General features: G+C 46.2%; 1 protein-coding gene across 2 annotated transcripts in view, besides 2 other annotated features; it reads left to right on the plus strand.

Moving 5' to 3' along the window:
• The window catches only part of PTDSS1 (phosphatidylserine synthase 1), a 75094-nt gene extending 57340 nt beyond the window's left edge, over nucleotides 1-17754 (plus strand). For both annotated transcript variants that reach the window (NM_014754.3, NM_001290225.2), the window contains 4 exons: nucleotides 1005-1104; nucleotides 10972-11040; nucleotides 11785-11854; nucleotides 14216-17754. In NM_014754.3, the coding sequence (NP_055569.1) occupies nucleotides 1005-1104; nucleotides 10972-11040; nucleotides 11785-11854; nucleotides 14216-14325 (349 nt within the window). In that variant the 3' untranslated portion in view covers nucleotides 14326-17754. The remainder of the gene's footprint in view (nucleotides 1-1004; nucleotides 1105-10971; nucleotides 11041-11784; nucleotides 11855-14215) is intronic.
• Nucleotides 8040-8575: an enhancer, noted in NCBI's record as "OCT4-NANOG-H3K4me1 hESC enhancer chr8:97339509-97340044 (GRCh37/hg19 assembly coordinates)". NCBI's record gives its function as "activates a minimal SCP1, AML or CMV promoter by ChIP-STARR-seq in primed H9 embryonic stem cells {active_cell/tissue: H9 hESC(primed)}" and the evidence as "EXISTENCE:reporter gene assay evidence [ECO:0000049][PMID:30033119]".
• Nucleotides 8576-9111: an enhancer, noted in NCBI's record as "OCT4-NANOG-H3K4me1 hESC enhancer chr8:97340045-97340580 (GRCh37/hg19 assembly coordinates)". NCBI's record gives its function as "activates a minimal SCP1, AML or CMV promoter by ChIP-STARR-seq in naive H9 embryonic stem cells {active_cell/tissue: H9 hESC(naive)}" and the evidence as "EXISTENCE:reporter gene assay evidence [ECO:0000049][PMID:30033119]".

Raw genomic sequence — 19665 nt, forward strand, 5'->3', positions numbered from 1 at the left:
GTGAGTACACCATTCATGGAGTGTACAGATCTCATCTTGAGCAAGGAATGCATAAAATGGACTTGTCTAAAATCAGTATTCATATGCTGCCTGGGATCTCATGGCCAACTATGTCAACCTCACCTCATCCATTCTTACCTCCAAGTCCTGAACCTTTAGAAAGGCCTGATTTTTATAGTCATAAATGAAGATACAGAACACAAGAGTGACTTTTTTTAATGTTTTAAAGGGGAAATAAGTGTGTGGCGTTTCTTAAAAAAAAACAAAAAATTTGTATTTAGCACAATCTTTTACAGATCAAGAGAAGGTAAAGGGTTTATATTTTCACCAAAAACGGGGGCTATTTCATCTGGAAATTCTTAGAAGGCTGGGAAGGAATGTGATTAATGCCTTCAAATTATTGAAAGACTCTCTTGGAAGGGTCAAACTCACCCTGTGTGGCAGCCACCTAGCCTCTTAATCACAGTCTAGACTTCAGAACTACAGTGAAAAAGCCTTCTAGGTTCCTCCACTGAAATGATGCTTTCTCACCTGCGACATGCTAGGGTAATGTTAGGACCCAGGGTAGGAGGTATAGGAGGCAGATACCAGCCTGTGACAAGGAAAAACTTCCTAACTGCTGAAGAGTTTGACCAGAAAAATAAGCCACCTTGCAAAGGTAGTAGTTTCCCTGTGCCTGAGAGGGTTCCAGCAGAGGCGGCGTGATCACCCACCCTTATGGCAGTGGAGGTGCTGAGTTAGGTGATGCCAGTGCCCCTAGCTATTAAAATTTATGAGTCACAATTTCGGTCTGGGAAGAAGGAAGAGGTGAAAAATACTTTATTATTTCCGAAGTAAATGCAGTTGGCTTGAACAGTGTTATTTTGTGGGGTACCTGCTACCAGTGTTTGAGGCAGAAATCGCATGATGAGTTGAACTTTTTCATTCAATCATGCATATTTTGGATAAAGTGTATGCTCTGGTAAGATGGATTAATACTTAACCTCTGTTCTCTGTCTAATTAGGGTCATTGGTTTCCTGGAGGCCATTGTTTGCATAAAATTTGGACAAGATCTCTTCTCTAAGACCCAAATACTCTATGTTGTGCTTTGGCTTCTTTGCGTGGTAAGTCACTGCATTTTACCCAAAGGCATTAGCTAAACTCTCATAGTATCACTTTAAACGGAGGGGGGCAAAGAAACCCTCTTGTGTATCAAAGTTCCTTAGAAATTCATAAAAAGATGTTCTACTTGTAATTGTCTGAGACTGGCCACCAGCCTAATTTCAAGAGTAAGACACAGCTACACAGTATCTGAAATAGGTCACCTCAGCAGATTCCAGTCAAACGCCTTCGACAGGTACACCCCACGTGCATTTCCTTGACTCACGAGAATTTGTCTGCATGTGCTATGCATTTAGGGACCACCATGAAAGGACAAGAAAGATCACAGTGCACTTTGCTTTCTCATCATCATGCCGCATACATCTTAACCTACATATCATTGCACATGGATTTATATATAAAAGGACATATGGTCATTCATAGGCAATAAAATATGTTTTGGAAGATAATTCGATCCTGCAATTTCTGCCCTCCAGGTCCACGTTATAACCCAAGCCTGGATATCACCTTCCGCTCTGAAGGGAAGAGCCTGTAGGGACACCAGCCTAAGCCTTGGTTCTTTTGCCCTGGGGCTCTTCCCTCACCTTTCAAATGAAGTAAGATAGTACCCACTTACACATTTTGTAACTGCCATTCTTCATTTAAATATTTGAAGTTATTATTTTGAAGAAAAGTTCTTATTTTATATTTAAGCTTAAGATTTTTCACTTAGTCTAGAAAATGTATTGGGCTTTTTAAATAATCATAGAAAATTTCAGACATGTGCAAATAGAGAGGATAGATGGCCCCTCATGAACCCATCATCGGTTATCAACTCAGGGCCAATTGTGTTTCCTCTTATGTTGTACTCACTGCCCCAACCCTAACTTATTTTGAAACAGATCCACCTTTAATATTTCAGGATGGATCACTAAAAGAAGCTCAGGATACTTTTTCGGTTTAATGCAACCACCCTACCATTATCATATCTAAAAAAGAATTAACAGTAATTCCTTAATATCATCAAATACCTAATCAGTGTTCAAATTACTAACCTTTTCTTAAAGGTTGTATTTGTTTAACAATATATTTGAATCCACATTCACCCATCGTGATTGGTTGGCATGCCTTTTAAGTCTCTGAATCCATAGGTTTTCCTCTATCGCTAACCCTCTTTCCCTCGTAATTTATCGGTTGAAGAAAGCAGCCCTTTTGTCCTATAGATTTTCCCACAGTCTGGATTTTACTGATTTTATCGTATCTTGTAATTTAACATATTTCTTTGTCCTCTGTATTTTCTGTAAGTCGGTAATTGGATCTAGAGGCTTAATCACATTTGGGTCTAGTTTTTTTCTTTTCTTTTCTCTTTTTTGGCAAGACTAACCTTTGTATTTTTAACGTGTCTTTTATCGCCTTTAACGGGATCTATTTTTAGGGTTACTTGTTAGAAATCCTAACTGTACCAAGGCACAGTGAGCCTGTTCTGTCCTGTTTCATCTTGAACAATAAAAGGGAATAATGATCTCCTTTGTATTTAAACTACAGAATTAATGCCCAAGTATATTTTTTCATGTCAGTGAGACCAGATGTAAGGAATCGGTTAGGGAAATGTGTCAGACATGCCCAGAGATTTTCACTATGCTCTTCTCAGATATGTCTCTGGCCTGTGCACCTCAAGTCTGAATTGTAATAGGACCTGACTGCAGGGGGCAGAGGTGGGTGCCCTCTTCACCGGGTACCAGAGAACCACCCGCCCACAGGGAGGGTGAGACAGGCAGGACTCCCAGGACAAGACAGACAGCCCTCCTCACCACAGCAAATCACAGGCCTCCCAGCTGCCTCCCCACCACTGCCCCCTGGGCAGCAGTGACCAGAAAGGTCTTCTCAGGCCACCTACCCAGGCAGCCCTCTCTGGTCCCTGTCTTAGTCCATTTTCTGTTGCTATAACAGAATACCATGGGCTTGGTAATTTACAGAGAAATTAAATCACAGTACTTTATTTGGCTCACGGTTCTGACAGCTGGGAAGTCCAAGAGCGTGGTACCAGTATCTGGCAAGGGTCACCCCATGATGGAAGGGCAGAAGGGGGAAGTGAGCATGTAAGACAGCAGGAGGTGGGCCGGACTTACCCTTCTTATCAGGAACCCACTCCCACGATCACTAAATCACTAACACGCTCCTGTGATAACAATCCCACTCCTGCAATAATAGCATCAGTCCATTTATGGGGTGCACTCCTCATGACCTAATCATGTCTTAAAGGCCCCACCTCCCAATATCATTACATTGACAGCTAAGTATCAACATGAGTTTTGGCAGGGACATTCAAGCCATAGCATTCCACCCCTGACCCCCGCTTCTCACATACGAAATACATTCATTTCATGCCAGTAGTCCCAAAAGTCTTCACTTGGCCCAGCATCAACTCCAAAGTTCAGAGTCTCATCTAAATCAGATATGAGTGACAGTCAAGGCACAATTCGTCCTGAGGTGAATTAACCCCACTTGGACACCACCGCAGTTTCTGGCCTATACCTTCCAGAGTGGTAGCTCAAGCCACACCAAGGTCCACTTGAGCCACAGCCAAGAAGAACTATGCCAGCTGTGAGCCTGTGAAATCACACAGGTCGTCTACTTCCACAATACAATAATGGGACAGGCATAGGATAGACATTGCAAATCTGAAAGGGAGAAATGGGCAAGAAAAAAGGGATAAGCAGTCCCAAGTAAGTACAGAACCCAACAGGGAAACATTACATCTTAAAGCTGGAGAATAATCTCCTTTGACTTTATGTTCTGTGTCCTGGCCTGGGGCAGGAGTTGGGCCCCCAGGCCTGGCAGCTCCACCCCTGTGGCTGTGCCGGGTTCAGCCAGTGCTTCAGTTCTTCCAGGCGGGAGTTGCACACTGGCAACCCTACAGTTCTGTGGTGTTGGGGATGACCCTGCTGCCACTGCTCCTCTCTGGTGGCTCCAACCCCACATTTCTCCTTGGCATTGCCCTAGTATTGGCTCTCTGCAGTGGCACTGCCCCTGTGGCAGGTTTTTGCCTAGACTTCTAGGCAGTTCGCCGCATCCTTTGAAATCTAGGTGGAGGAAGCCATGGCCTCCACAGCTCTTGCGTTTTGCATACCTGCAGAATTAACACCACATGGACACCACCATGGGTTATAGCTTATCCCTCCCAGAGTGGTAGCCCAAGCCACACCAAGGCCCACTTGAGCCACAGCTAAGGCAGCCAAGGAGCACTCTGCTAGAATGTGGGAGTAGAGTCCCTAGGTAGCCCTGGTCAGTGAGCCCGTGGAGGGCTCCCCAGGCCTGTAACCGAAAACCATTCTGCCCTCTTAGAGCTCTGGGTCTGTGATGGGAGGGGCAGCCTTGAAGATCTCTGAAACGCTTTTGCTTTCAGGGATCTTCCTCACATTTTCTTGATGAATAGCACCTGGTTTCTTTCTTTCCATGGTAATCTCTTTAACAGCCACGTGGCCCCACCCTTAGTGTTTGGAATATGCTTTTTCACTGTTTACATGGCCAGGCTTTGAATTTTCCAGATTATTCCATTCTGCTTCCCTTTTAATTTTAAATTGTCTTTAAGTCATTTCCTTCCTCTGGAATCTCATTGTATGCAGTCAGAAGTAGCCACACAGTAGCCCGAATGCTTTGCTGCTTGGCTGTCTTCCACCAGATATCCTAGTTCATTGCCCTCAGGCTGCACACTCTAGAAAGCCTTCAGGCATGGACACAATTCAGCCAAGGTCTTTGCTACTGTGTGACAAGGATGCCCTTTACTCCACTTTCCAATCCTTGCTCCTCATTTCCATTTGAGACCTCATCAGAGTGGCCTTGACTGTTCATATTGCTACCAGCATTCTGGTCGGGAACGCTTAAGTAATCTCTAAGAAGACTGAGGCTTTCCCTCTTTTCTTCTGAGCCCTCACCAGGATCACCCGTAATGCTCCCTTTACAGCAATACAGGCTTTTTCTAGCCTGCTCCTCCAAATTCTTTCAGCCTCTACCCATTAGCCAGTTCAAAAGCTGCTTCCATATTTTCAAGTATTTGTTATAGTAACCACCCCACTTTTTGGTACCGATTTTCTGTCTTAGTCCATTTTCTGTTGCTATAACAGAATACTGCAGACTGGGTAATTTCAAAAGAAAATAAGTTTATTCTGCTCACAGTTTTGGAGGTTGGGAAGTCCAAAAGTATGGCAATGGCATCCAGTGAGGTCATCCCATGGTGGAAGGGCAGAAGGCAGAAACAAGTGCACCAGACAGAGAGGGAAGTGCCAAACTCATCCTTTTTATCAGGAACCCACTCCCAAGATAACAGCCTGAATCCATTCATGAGGGCTTTGCCCTCATGACCTATCACCTCTTAAAGGCCCCACCTCCTAATACTGTTAAGTTGGCAGTTAAGTTTCGAGGAGAGTTTTGGCAAGGACATTCAAACCATAGCAGTCACTCAGACTGTAGGGACCCCTCTAATTTCTCTTTAAGTTTTAGAGAGACTTTCTGTTACTTATTTGACACTTAGAATATATCTCCTTTTGTGGGTTAGCCTTTGTATCTATGTGATTGTAACTTATTGAGGACATGCACCATTTCTTATGCTCCCATTGACCTCTGCTTCACTTGGTACAGACCTCTTAGTCCGGGCTTCATTCACAGACAGTTGCTGAGTGCTCTTCCGTGCTGTGCCTGGGGCTCTAGCCACACAGATAGATGACGGTGATAAGATTTACTGGTGCCTACTATGTGCCAGAGACCATTCTAAGCACTGTCATGAATTCCACATTTGATCTTCACACTTTGAGGGAAGGTATTTTATTATCCCTCTTTTACAGATGAGGAAACAAAGGCACAAAGAAGTTCACTAACTTGCCCAAGGTCACATAGGTAGTTAAGTGGCAGAACCAGGACTCAAACCCAGACATTCTCTCTAGGGAACTGCTCTTCATCACTGCCCTCCAAGGATCTCTGAGTTCAGATGGCAATTAGACATGCAAACTAATTATGTTAATATGTGATAAATACTGTAAAAGATTGTGTGCATAAGGCTAAAGGATACTTAGAGCAACAGACATGCTGGGGGTTGGTGAAGGCTCCTTAGTGATATGTGAGCAGGATTTTTAAGGGTTGCAGTGAACCGCTGGCTTTCCCCCAGCCCCCCAGGCCCCAGCTAAAAACCTGGAGGCTGCTTCCTGTCCTCCATCACTCTTCGAATCAGCCAGTCACTAAGATCTGTTAATTTGACAATGCAGCTCAACTCCATCTCCTCTCCATTCCCACTGCCTCTGCGGCTGTCAGGACACCCATTTTCTTGCCATTCTGCCCTCCAAATCCATTCTCCATGCTGCTGTCAAAATGATCTTCCAAAATTCAGAACTCAATCTCTTTCCCCTGCTAAGAATCATTCTCTCTGGCTGGGGGCTTGAGAGGGCACAATAACACAATCTTTTTCCCCACCTGAGTTAAAAAATAAGTAAGAGATAAGCAAGATAGAGGAAAGTTATGGGGATCAGAGTAGCATCTTCATTAGTGAGAATTCACCTTTTTCAGGAAATGCCGGCTTCCTTAGTCACCATTCAAGGTGTGACTTCTCCCCAGGGAAGGAGTGAGGGGTGGAGGGAAGCAGTGAAGCTTCCTCCACACAAGAAGAAACTTCAAGAAGGAAGAAGGCTCCCCACCACGAAACCTCCCAGATGAATTATGAAATCTGCTTGTGTGTTCAGGACCTTCATAGTGGGAGCATTCCATCACATCTGCCCACGTGTACTCTATTCTCAGGCTGCACTTGTCTGCTGGTAGTTACCTAAACAAGTCATCCTTCCAGACTTCTTTTGCCCTTCCCACGCTGTTTTCTCTGCCTGATCTGAAAGACTTTCCCTGCCTTATCTACATGATGAAACTGATACCCCAAAACCAACTTAAACATATGACCCCCATGAAATATGCTCTGACCTCCAAGGCAAGTAGATAGCTCCCTCCTTGGGACCAGTAGTGCTTTGTACGTAACTCTCAGTTCTAACCCCAGTGCAGTGGAATTTGTTTTTTTTCTATCTGTCTCCTCCACACTGCACTCCTTGCTCAGAGAGAATAAGTTGAAGTCATCTTTTGGCCCCACTGTCTCAAGCACCGTGCCTGGTGCATAGGAAGCACTCGGCAGCTTCGTGGAGAATAAAGGAGTGAGTTCAAGAGACAAAAACTTGCGACATGCAGGTGGCTGGGGGGCAAACATACAAAGACAGGAAGCTGTGAGAGTGCCCAGTGGCTCAGGAAGGTGGTGACCTGTTTGAGGAGTGACAGTGAAGAGTTGGATGAAGAGTAGGACAGGGTCCCCTGCTTAGGAAGGGCTTTGTGCGGCTGTAGTTGCAGCCCCAGCAATTTTCAAGCGGGGAAACAATGTGGTCTGATCTGTGTCTCATGGGGAAACACCATGGAGGCTGGGAGAGTCTAGAGGGAAGATGGGTTGGGGGGAAGAAGTACAGTCAGAGGTGCTGCCAGGCCTAGTTGACAAGTAACTGAAGCTGAACCAAGGCAGAGGCATTGAAGATGCAGAGGAAGGGCTGGATCTGAGAGTTGTTTAAGGAATGTGCTCAACAGGATGCCATTCCTCTTGTGGTAGCTGGGAGGGGACTTGAGTGCCACTCCAAAGGTTCTAACTGGTGCCACTGGGTGGCCACCAGTGCTAGCGACAGATTGGAGGATATAGGAGAAGCCCATTGAAAGGAGGAGGTGAATTTGGTTCAGGGGATTTGGGTTTGAGGAACCTTTAGAATTTACAGGTGGAAGTGTCCTGTTTTATGGGAAATTCTAATCTGTCAATAACACTGGAAGGATTTGGTCGTTGGTGGAAATAAAATACTTGGGAGGAGCCCATGTGGAGGGTGCAGTTGGAGTCCTGGGATTAGGTTAAGAGCTCAGGGAACATGCCTCTGGGAGAGGAGCTGACTGAGGCTGGGATACCTTAATAAGAGGTCAGGCCGGGGACGATGAGCAGGATTTTGAAGACAGGCAGAATCTCTGATTAGACTTACAGGATGAGACATGAGAGAGGGACGTCGCCCGAAAAGAGGCCCTGAGACAGGATGATTAGGGGTCTCCACTGCCTCCCTTTAAAGAAGAACAGAAACAAGGTCCTGGCACTTTTTAAAATATTCCTGACCTTTATTATAAAGAGCAAGATTGATCGCAGACTCAGGAGTAGAGGCGAACATTATTCAATAAGAGAGCTTCAAGTTACACCATGCCTTCTGCCCCACTCAGAAAAGCAAAGCCCCTAATTACTCCCCTGGCCTGGTAAGAGAGCGCACACGGAGCTTGAGATTAATGCAGAAGCAAAGATCCCGGGTGCTGGTTAATAAGCTTTTCCAGGAGCGTGGTTGTCTGCTCGGCCGTCATTAATTTGAATGCTCATTACCATAATGTAGAAGCCAAGCTGGGGTCCTGCGCCCTCCTTGCCGCCAGCCCCGTGGTCCTGGACAGCCTGGCTCTCATCCCACGTAGTTTCTTCTCGCCCCCCCGCCCTTTCTTTAAACGAAGTGTGCAATTGCTATTTTAAATCTGAGCCTTGACATTTTCAGTGGGTACGTGCCTAGATTTCCACAGGTGTGATTGCAAACCTGTAAATTACCGGCTTCCGTTTGCTGGGACAAGTGTAAAATGGGCCTCTTTGTACGCAGGTGAAGTAGATTTGGCAATCACAACAGACCCTTTGTGTGACGATTGTGATGATAAGCACCTGTCGTTCTCCACTTGCCTGCTGTTTGCCGCTGGAGGGAGCGGCAGCTGCCACTGCCTGTCATATTGGGCCTGGGGCTGGGGAAGGGAAGAGCCCCGCGTGCCTGCCCTCTGGTGGTCAGAGTTTGCAATGACAGTCTAGTTGAGGGACCCGCCTCCCCACAGCCCTCTCGTTTGGGGAGGTGGAACCTAACCCCCCCAGTCCGCTGTGTGAAACCCAGAATGTTCTGTTTTGCTCTTTGTAAGGGGCCTAACGCATACACAGGCTTACACTCTGCAAATCATTTCTAGTCCTTCCCACTCTTTCCATGCCATGAAAATGGCACACTTAACGTTGGTATATCTAAGAAATCTGGGCAAGCATTAGAGTATGTTAAAGGTTGGAAGTCATTTTCACTTTGTAGTTTTAATGTATTCATTCGTGGCCTAATTTTTTGATGGATATGAGCTTTTTAATAAATCCCTAACCTGTAGGTATATGCCAGTTTGCACGTGGGTTTAGTAGGAAATGAACCAGTGGCGCTGCTTGTGCTTCTCACTCTCTCTCCACGCTGCCACTGTTCCTGCTTCCACGTAACTGGCACGGAAGAGGACAGCTAGCCAGAGTGTTGCTCTCCTTTCTTTTTTGGAACTAAGAAGGCACTGTGTATCCAGCAGCTGCCAGGAAATGTCGCTGATAAAGGAACTGGGCCAAAGCTCGACTGCAAGCTGCCATGATGAGAATTCACAGCCCCTGCCTTCCCGCCCTACCACCAGACTGTGGCTGTGCAGAGGAGAAGCTGCTGCTGTTCACTGTTCCCATGATGCTTTTCGTTCTCAGGGATGGATACATGGATGGAGAAATAAAGCTATATAGACATAAAGCCAATATTTGTATCAGTAGCCATCCCTTAAACCCAGATCCGGGGGTTTCAAGAGATCTGAGTTCCGGCTCCAATGTTCACCTCTCTGAGCTTTCATTCTTCTTCTGGAAAATGAGGGGCAATGAAATTAATGGTCTCTGAGGTGACCTTTTGGATCTAAAGTTATGATTCTTAGAACTAAAATTATTTCCTTGAGAAGGTCCCTCCATGCTCTCACAGCTGTCCCCACAGTTGGTGCAAGATGAGAGGGGTCCAGGAAAATGACAGGTGCCCAGGTGTCCACAGGAAATGCAGGGGGAGAGATGGAGGCTCAACAGCCAGGATGGCTTGATGTGAATGGGTTTCTAGAGTGAGGAATTTGGAAGGAGCTGGCAGTTGCCTTGTTTTGTTCTGGTTGCTTTGCTTGCAGTGGGGAAGGTGTGGCCGGGGAGATTCATGGCCCTGCTCTACCGCTCACCCTCCCTCCCTCCTGCCTTTGGTATGCAGTCCAGGCAGCTGGAGACTTTTCCTAAGCTTTGATTTTTTGACATGTTTTGAAACTTTGGATTCTTGTCTGTGCTTTTCTTTCCTTAAATTAGGGTATAATTTAGGGTGTGGGGGCAGGCCCAGTGAGTGGGGCAAGTGTGGAGTAGAGGTTGTCCCTGCCTCTGGGCACCCACAGGCCACACCCTCCTCATTCCACTCAGGGCCTTAAGAGCATCTTTATTTTCTCTTTGTTTTCCTATCCATATAACCAAGAAAAACAAAGCAATAAAAACTGGGGTCCACTCAAAAGCCTGGAAAAGCAAGGGCAGCCCTGTCCAGCTAAGCTCCCCACCCTCTACCCTGGGAGTGTTTGTCCGTGGGCCCTCAGGTGCCGCTGTGACCTCTTCCCCCTAGAAGCTGACACACTGAGTCCTCTTAGCGCTCTCCTGTGATGGGGAAGCCGGGAGAGAATGGACCCTGAAAATCAGAACTAGAACATAGAATCCTCTCTATCTTCTTCAACAGAACCCGCAAAGCTATCAAGAAAATGCATCCCACCATATTGCACATCTGAAAATTGTCTTTCTTGCTTTCTGATAGTAGAGTCACAGGTAGTAACTGTGGTCTCATCATAACCTTTGTTGTCAGAAGCTTTGGGTGTGCACCCTCCCCTTGAGGTCTGATCTCTGCCACGTCCAGCCGTTTTGTAACCGGCGTCCAGACGGCAGAAATGCATTGAACGGTCCTGCATTGATTCCCACTGAAACCCTGAAGTTCTGGGAAATTGAACTTTTTTGTGCAGCATCATTTGTTTTTCTCTTCCAGGCTTTCACCACTTTCCTCTGTCTGTACGGCATGATTTGGTATGCAGAACACTATGGTCACCGAGAAAAGGTATGGAAGGAGAGGCAGGCATGGCCATTGTTTAAAATAATCACCCCGGGCTCGGCAAATTCGCTCAGAGCACGTGCCTGTAAGGATATGGCGAGGTAAACACTGAGGTTGGGGCCTCCAGTCCTGCCACTGCAGAAACCGCATGTCACAACTCATTCCCTAGCCATTGCTGGCCCTGCTTGTGACGGCTCTGTTCAGTAGACCAATATTTTTGTCTAACTTTTGTTAGATAAAAAAAGTTATGTTTGTTTGGAGAAAAAAAGAAAAGTGATGGGAAAGCTGTGGACTGGCTTTTGGAAGCTGGGTTTTCTCCCCAGCTCTTGAACTGTGTGGAGGCCTCTTCCTGTGTTCCGGCCTGTGGCTCTTCTGGGCAAACGCTTGCCCTGACCTTCATTTAGTAGATATGAGGATACCATAGAAAATAGACATGAATGGCTTTAAGACACGATGGCCGTCTGGTAGACGGTAATATTTTTTTCGGTAAAAATAACACTTTCATCCTTTATTTACACCTTCAGTCTAAAGAACTTAAGGCATGTTGTGGAAGATTGATTCTGCATCACCTGTGAGAGGAAAGAACCTTGTTTTTATAGCAGAGAAATATAAGCACAGGGAGGTTCTGTCACTTGCCAGTGATGATCCCAGCCTGGGAGAGGCAGGGATGCAGCATGCTCGCCTTTTTGCCCTGCCACTTCTCCCAGGGAGTTCCTAAAATTCCTGCACTAAGCCTGTCTCTCTCCCTAGACCTACTCGGAGTGTGAAGATGGCACCTACAGTCCAGAGATCTCCTGGCATCACAGGAAAGGGACAAAAGGTATCTTGTTCTTGTTCGTTGTTTAAAATTTTACTGGGTCCTTGAGATGTGGAATTATTACCTATTCTTTGAGTGGAGATGATATAAGCCTTGAAGGGTCTCAGGCCTACCCATTGAATGTCTCCTGTCACTTATTAAGAAACATGCAATGGCTGGGCACGGTGGCTCACGCCTGTAATCCTAACACTTTGGGAGGCTGAGGTGGGCAGATCACTTGAGATCAGGAGTTCGAGACCAGCCTGGCCAACATGGTGACACCCCCGTCTCTACAAAAAATACAGAAATTAGCCAGGTGTGGTGGCGGGCGCCTGTAGTCCCAGCTACTCAGGACGCTGAGCCAGGAGAATCGCATGAACCTGGAAGGCGGAGGTTGCCATGAGCCAAGATCGTACCACTGCACTCCAGCCTGGGCAGCAGAGTAAGACTCTGTCTCAAAACCACGGCACTCCAGTCTCGGCAGCAGAGTAAGACTCTGTCTCAAAAAAAAAAAAAGAAAAGAAAAGAAAAAGAAACATGCAAAATGCTCACAGGATCTGAGTGAAAGACTTGGTTTGTAAGAAGAGGCTCCATGTAGCTCTGCCCTTCGTGAGGGCCCCACACCATTTCAAGCACCCTGATGGGAACGTTCTTCCTCTTGGCTTCCATCATGAGTGAACAGGAAGAACTGTATATCCGGCCAGGCACAGTGGCTCACGCCTGTAACCCCAGCGCTTTGGGATGCCATGGCAGGATCATTTGAGGCCAGGTATTTGAGACCAGCATGGGCAACAGAGCAAGACCCTGTCTCTACAAAAATCTTAAAAAATTAGCCAGATGTGGTGGCACATGCCTGTAGTTACAGCTAGTCAGGAGTCAGAGATAGGAGGGTCACTTGAGCCCAGGATCACTCCCATGTGGAAGACAGAACAAGTCCCTGCCTCTTAAAAAAAAAAAAAAAAAAAAAAAAAAAAAAGGTACTGTGTATCAGGAGGAAAAGCCTTTCAAAAGAGGGGGATCATTTTAATGGCATTTATTCAAGAGGCAGGGCAGTGTAAGAGATTTTGGTCGTGTAGTTAGGGAACCTCCACTGGCCTCTAAGGATCACTTTGGGAATATTTGGGGCCACCTGGTTATTTCAAAGAATTAGACTTGTAGAATAATGACATTGAGGTGATTTCATTGGACAGTAATTCCTCGTCAATCCTTATAAGCTACTTGGGAAGCTTGGCTGAAGAAAGAAAATTAGAAATACTAAAGACTGAATTTTAGCTCACAAAATTGCTCAGAGAAACGGTGGGCCAATGGAGAAGAAAGCGCCCTGTTGCAGTCATTCTCCTAAGTTCTTTTGGCATCAGGCTCATTAAAGATCTCCCAGGGGAGACACTAACATACACTCTGCTGAGCTGCTGGCCGCCCTTTTGGGGAAAGTTTCTCCTGAACCACGGAATTGATCAGTGAGCGGCCCGTTGTGAAATCTGATAGAGATGGACAGAGGGGCTCCCCAGCTATCTTATTTAGAACCATGCCCTTACAAACAACCTTGGCACTTACAGGTTCTCCACTGAAGAGAATTAAGCAGTAGTAGAGATGTATTTACTTGATGGAATAATAAAAAAAGAAAAATAACAAAAACAGAAGTCTTCTGAGTGGGGAAAGAATCTCTTAGTCTAAGTCAAATGCTCCTTACAGTGGAGACTGTAACTCTGGTAACTTTTTTTTTGTTGGCAGCCTCAGGTGGAGATTTCCTATGGGGCTGGATCAGAGCCCTGGGGCAGAGAACCCTTTGGCTTGGCCGCTAGGCCAGGCAGGGGCTGAACAAAGGCTCAGCTGGAGGGCAGAGGCTGCCCAGTGCCCTCCATCGTGGGCAGCAGGGGCCTGAATTGTAAAGATGTTCTCCAGATCAAATGTAGAGGGTGTGAAATAGCTCTGATTTTATAGTGTCAAGAGTCTTTCCTGATGTCGGGTTTAGAAGGTGGTGTGGAGCAGGTGAAGGGATGGAAACCCTTGGTTGCAGGGCAGGATGGGCACCGCGTGGTGTGTGTTTTAATTGCCCCTCGTTTGGGCTTCCGTTTCACTTGTGCTCTCACTTCTGGTCCTCACCATCATGACCATGTCCATCATACACAGGACAGATGTACACACGCTTCAGGAACCACCCAGACTTTGGGGCGCTATTGCGTTGAACCCCGCGCCACCGCGTGTGCTCCTTCAGTACTAGTTCTGTGTTTGAGAGCCTCGCCTTCATTTATGAATGAGGCCACTAGGGGGAGTGCACGTATCAGGGAAGAACCTGTTCCCCGGCAAGCCTAGGGCGGTCTGGAAAGGGACAGTCACCAATCTCCAGAGCCCAGGGTGACGGTGTGCTCTGATTCCTTTGGCCAGGTTCTGAAGACAGCCCACCCAAGCATGCAGGCAACAACGAAAGCCATTCTTCCAGGAGAAGGAATCGGCATTCCAAGTCAAAAGTCACCAATGGCGTTGGAAAGAAATGAAAAACCCTGGTTAATCAAAGATGTTCCAGAGTGCCTAGAACTGAGAGGGAAATGGAACTCATTTGGAACTCCCCGTGAGGAGGTCGAGGCGCACAGGGCAAGCAGGAAGAGGCGAGGGCACTTGGGGGTCATTATTTGAGATCGTAAGTCTTGTTTCCCACAGACCTGGCCGCGTCAGGCAGATCATCGCCTGGGGGGCCTTTGCCAACGTGGGGTCTCTTCTAACTTCAGCACTTGACATGCGGTCACCGGTGGCAGCGCGGTGTGTTGAAGGGAAACGGTAGCTATTCATTCACAGTTGCCAAGAGCAGCTCCGCGCCTGCTGGATCGTGGATGCAGCGTAAACATCTTCCTTCAGACGAGGCATTAACCCCATGGTTAATGGACTGGTCACCAGTTTTTATTTTATTTTTATGAATCTACCTTTCCATTGATTGATTTAAGTTCAGGCCACTTTTCTGTCTTTTATTTGGTTACTGTTGTTATTTGTTTTTAAGTTAGGATGCTTTTTAACAGCCTTTAGAAGCCGCTGCTGAAATTGATACTGGGGGAAGGGTTCCCCTTCCTTCTAGAGCAGAAAAGGGAGAGAGGTGTTGTATTCCTGTTTGGTAACCTCAGTCTCCTGTAAGACCTCCTACCACATGGCGAGTATACACCAATCAGGAGAGGGTAGCTGCCTGCATAGGAGCCTCGCTTCCGATTATTCCCTTCCCAATATTATTCATCCAGACTTAGCCACAGTGCACAAAAGCAAACCTGCTAGAGAGGCAGTGAACACCACAGCTTCTCCCCAGCTAGGTGCCTTTTACATCGGGTTTGTTCTCCTTCCATGGTGTGTTGCTGACATTGTCACTGAGTCCCATGTGAGGTGCTGGTGAGTATTACCTTTCATCTGTGCCATGCTCTAGAACCTTGACCTTGATAGTTCACCACCTCTGATGGATCCCTGTTTTAAATAAAAACGATTCACTTTAAAGCCTATCAAAGGTCTGTCTGTAAAATGCTCATTTTCTTGCATCTTACTGGTATCTTCTATTGATTGTAAGCAGTCTGTGTTTTTCAAGTGACTTTAGGATAATATATATGTGTTTTACATAGTGAGAAGAAAAAAGAAAAGATGTGTATTTTAAAGGGCTTACAGACATATATGTCCTACTTCTTAGACTACCCAAGTGACCAACAGGAATGAACAACATAGTCATTGTTTTTTCCTGTGGTAATGGTTTCCAAGTTGGACTTTTTTTTCCTCTAACAAGAGGCCAGTACCCAGTTGATTAGCTTACAGATATCAACTCACTGAAAGTAATCTTTTGTTCCCTCATTTCACACAGCACAAAGGTTCGTTCTGATGTTTCTTCTTCTTTAAGGAAATCTTTAGCCATAGAAGTGTCACTTTTTTTTTTTCTGCAAAAGAATTCCAAGATGAACGGGTTGAATGAATCATGCCAGCCAGGGTCACATCCTGTCCTCAGGGGGCCCAGTGCTCAATAGTAGATTCTGCGGGAGTGGAGAAGCGTCAGTGGCAGCTCCGCTCACTTGGTGAGTGAGGGATTTGGCTGTGATGAGCCTCAGCTCCGAGCTCTCAAATGTCCTCCAGCCAGCATCTGCCTGCTTCCCACAAAAGGATAGAAGAGAGGCAAAGTGCGTGTTTCATAAAACCTGCCTGCACTTTTATAACCCATCAAAGAGGCCATTTTTAAACACAGGTACAATTTAAACATGATCTTTCTTTGCAAATAAATATGTTTTGTTTCATCCTGTGTTCTGCTTTTCTAAGCATGACATACTTGTGCCCATTGGAGAAGACACCTGTCTCTTCTTTCTCACACCGGTGGTGCCTCACTGAGTGTTTCCGGGTTCATTTTCCGGGAGCACTGGGCCTGACACTTTCACACTCTTCTGACTTTCGCCTTGTTGCAACTGATGGAGCATGTGTGCTTCCTCTGAGGCCAGCCTACAGGAGGCAGCTGTTTCGCAGGTGGTGAATTCGACTTTACTGTGGCATTGTGAAGAGCAGGGTGCACAGGAGATGATTTTTTCTCCATGGCTTTGTAAGAAACAGCCAGGAAAGTTCTCAGATACTTTCCATGCCCTTTCTTTGAGTTGAAACTTTCTATTTCCCTTCAGTCAGAGCTCTTTACTATAGTAGTTACAAAACCAGTGCTTTCCATGGCTGGCCAGAACCACAGCTGCTATTCCTTTTAGAAGCCATACTGCTGGGTTTGGCCTACTTTTTTCACCGTTTCTATGGAAATAAACCTCACATTGATGGAAATAGAATGCGTGTTTCAGAATCATCATTCAATATCTGAAATGATTTGATTGTAAATTATCTCATGGTCCCTGTTTGCAAACCACCCTCTTAAGAGAGAACATTGTTTTGGACCTAAAGCTTGAAGAACGGTTTATGTATTTTTCTCCTTAAGTAGCATTGCATTGAGTGTTAGGTTCTTTTCCCTTTTTTTCATTCTTGGTCTTCCCAAAGCTTCTTCCCACATTTCGTTTGTGTCTGTTTCCACCATTCATAGAAACCTTGGAACCACTCTCACAGCAATGCTAGGATGTTTCATGGACCTGTTAAGCATTTTGATGATACAAGACATCCTATCAATGCCAGTCTTATTTTCGCTAGGACTCTGCTTCCACAGTAAGCTCCTAAGGTGCTCACCCAACCCAGGAGAAAACAAAATTCATTACCAAATACAACAGGTTCAGCCTTCTTGGTCTTCCCTCAGAAGCCACCGTGTAGCACCCTGGAATGATGCCTCTTTATGCCAAGGCCCACCCTTTGGAATTGGGAGGGTTTTGGGTAGAATCCTGCACTTACAGAGGCCCTTGGGGTCATTGAGAAGTGGAGGAGGTTGGACACAGAAGGGGAGGCTAAACACAAGGTGGGGAAGAAAAAATGTAACCATTGGCAGCCAGACTGAAGCTAGCCCTTTAAAATACGGGGTTGGGGGGTTAACATCCGCTCTTTGGAATGTGCTCAGTGACTGCTGCAGAGTTCCTGGGCCACCCTAATGTTTACCAGGTGGGCGTTGTTTATATGGTTCTTATTGTTATGACAACTAGAAATCCCACAGTAGACTAGACAGTGCTCCCTACCATTTCCCATTTATAGGATTGAAATCAAGATGTAAGGAGAGCTGGCCGGGCGCAGGGCTCACGCCTGTAATCCCAGCACTTTGGGAGGCTGAGGTGGGTGGATCGCCTGAGGTCAGGAGTTTGAGACCAGCCTGACCAATATGGTGAAACCCTGTCTCTGCTGAAAATACTTAAATTAGCCGGGCATGGTGGCAGGCACCTGTAGTCCCAGCTACTCGGGAGACAGAGACAGAAGAAATGCTTGAACCCAGGAGGTGGAGGTTCCAGTGAGCCGAGATCACGCCACCGCACTCTCTAACCTGGGCGACAGAGCGAGACTATCTCAAAAAAAAAAAAAAAAAAAAAAAAAAACTGTAAGGCGAGCTAAGACGTCTGTCTATCAGTGTTCCATTACATAATACACCTCTTTCCTTCACATGTGTGTGCACATTCTCAGGATTATATTAGAGATTTGATTCTTTGCAAGGGTCAGTATCAGTAATGGCTGAGACTGGTGGGCTGCAGTCATGTTGCTATGCCGTAAGAGGTTTTTACAACATTTCCCCTTATCACACTTTATTCTAACCTGATGATGGGCCTATCTCAGGTGAAGATTGCAATAGTTTCCTTAATTGAACTTTGGTATTTGATGCATTAAATAAATATGGCTTTTTAATTTTGCTATCTTCTGTGAATTTAAAGGAATTATTTCATTGATGTCTACCAAAGAAGATAAAAAAACAGTTGGATGTGAAATTTTTTTAGGTTGTGGGAATGCTACGTTGTAAAAATCTTCCTTTTCTTCCATGTTCACTAAAAAATGCCTTTAGTCCATTTCAGAAAGTTCATCTGTGACTTGGTCTACTCTGATATTCCCTTTCTTGCAGCTTGTTAGGTGGAATTTTGAAGTTGCTTGTCCTGCAAAGAGATATTTGTTGTCACAGTCTAACAGTGTTCAAGGGTTTGCAACATGTCCAAGTACCTCCAAGGCCTCACAGGGCTAAGCTGAATTTATCCCTCATGATACTCTGATACTCATAATACTCTGGTTGAAGCCTGGTCTCTACCTCCATATTCAGTACACCCAGCTGGGGAGGCGGGTGACAGCAAGCTTCCTGCCTGCATTTCTAGCAAAAGGGACTCCTAAGCCCCAGCATTGTTGTCCTCTTGGAGCAGAGAGAAGGGTGTTGGCAGATCCCTTCCCCTCTCGTAACCCCAGTGAGGACAGTAACATCATTCAGAACATAGAATTTACCCAAGGGTTTTGCTTTCACAGCTGATGCAACCAACCACCCAGCCTCTTTAAGTGATCTGGGCTCACGCTCGTACTTGTGCCTGGGAGTTAATTGCTGGTTTTTCTTTGTTACTGGAATGCTCAAGACATCACCCTGGCCAGGGTCTGCAAACTGTGGGCACCGACAGTGCCCTGCGGTGGCAGGAAGATTTGCTCAGAGCTGTGACCTCCTGCCCCTCGGAGCAGTCATCCCAGGGCGTCAGAGCCTGGTGTTCCATTGTAGGGTGTGGCCCCTTTCTGGATGCTGAGTAAAGGAGACTCTTGTGGTTTTACAAACCACAGGAAATGAAGTTTGTCTGCCTTTAAAAGAAAATTGGTTTTCTAACATTTGAGACTAAAAAAACCAAAATATTTCATTATCGTGTCTGAAGTATACACACAATAGCTTTCATTACAGAGTCAAATTGCAGGCAAGGTTTATGTAACAATCCATACTGGAAATCCGGGCTGTAAGCCTGACTGTTCCCACCCGCCCGACAAAGGGCTGTTTGGGCTCAATCTCATCTCTCCAACTGCATACGTCATGGACTGATTAGGTATTTTATGAGTGCAGCGTGGGAAAGGCTTAAGAAAGATCTTCAGCTTTCAAAATGTTAGGGATCCTCCACCTCTCTTAGAGTGGATGAAATCCAGACCAGGAGCAGGGGAATAAGAGTTCACTAGGGCCACTGCTAACATGACTTCCAGACAGTGGCATTCAGAGGATTGGAGCCTTCAAAACACCCCCGTGTGGGGCTCTCCGCACCCCTTCCCTCTCGTCCCTGAATCCTCCCAGCAGCCACAGTAACACAAGCTTGCACATAGAGCACACGGCCAGGAGGTGCCCGGGGGCCACCGGAGCAACACAGCCTGAGACTCTGTGCCAGGCTCCTCCCCTGGATTCTTGTGCACATGTCTTACTCCTATCAGCAGACCACAGCCCCATAGATCCTCACTGGCCTCAGAGCTGGCAAATGGATGGC

The sequence above is a fragment of the Homo sapiens genome, chromosome 8 (genome assembly GCF_000001405.40).
Source record: "Homo sapiens chromosome 8, GRCh38.p14 Primary Assembly".
Lineage (NCBI taxonomy): Eukaryota > Metazoa > Chordata > Mammalia > Primates > Hominidae > Homo > Homo sapiens.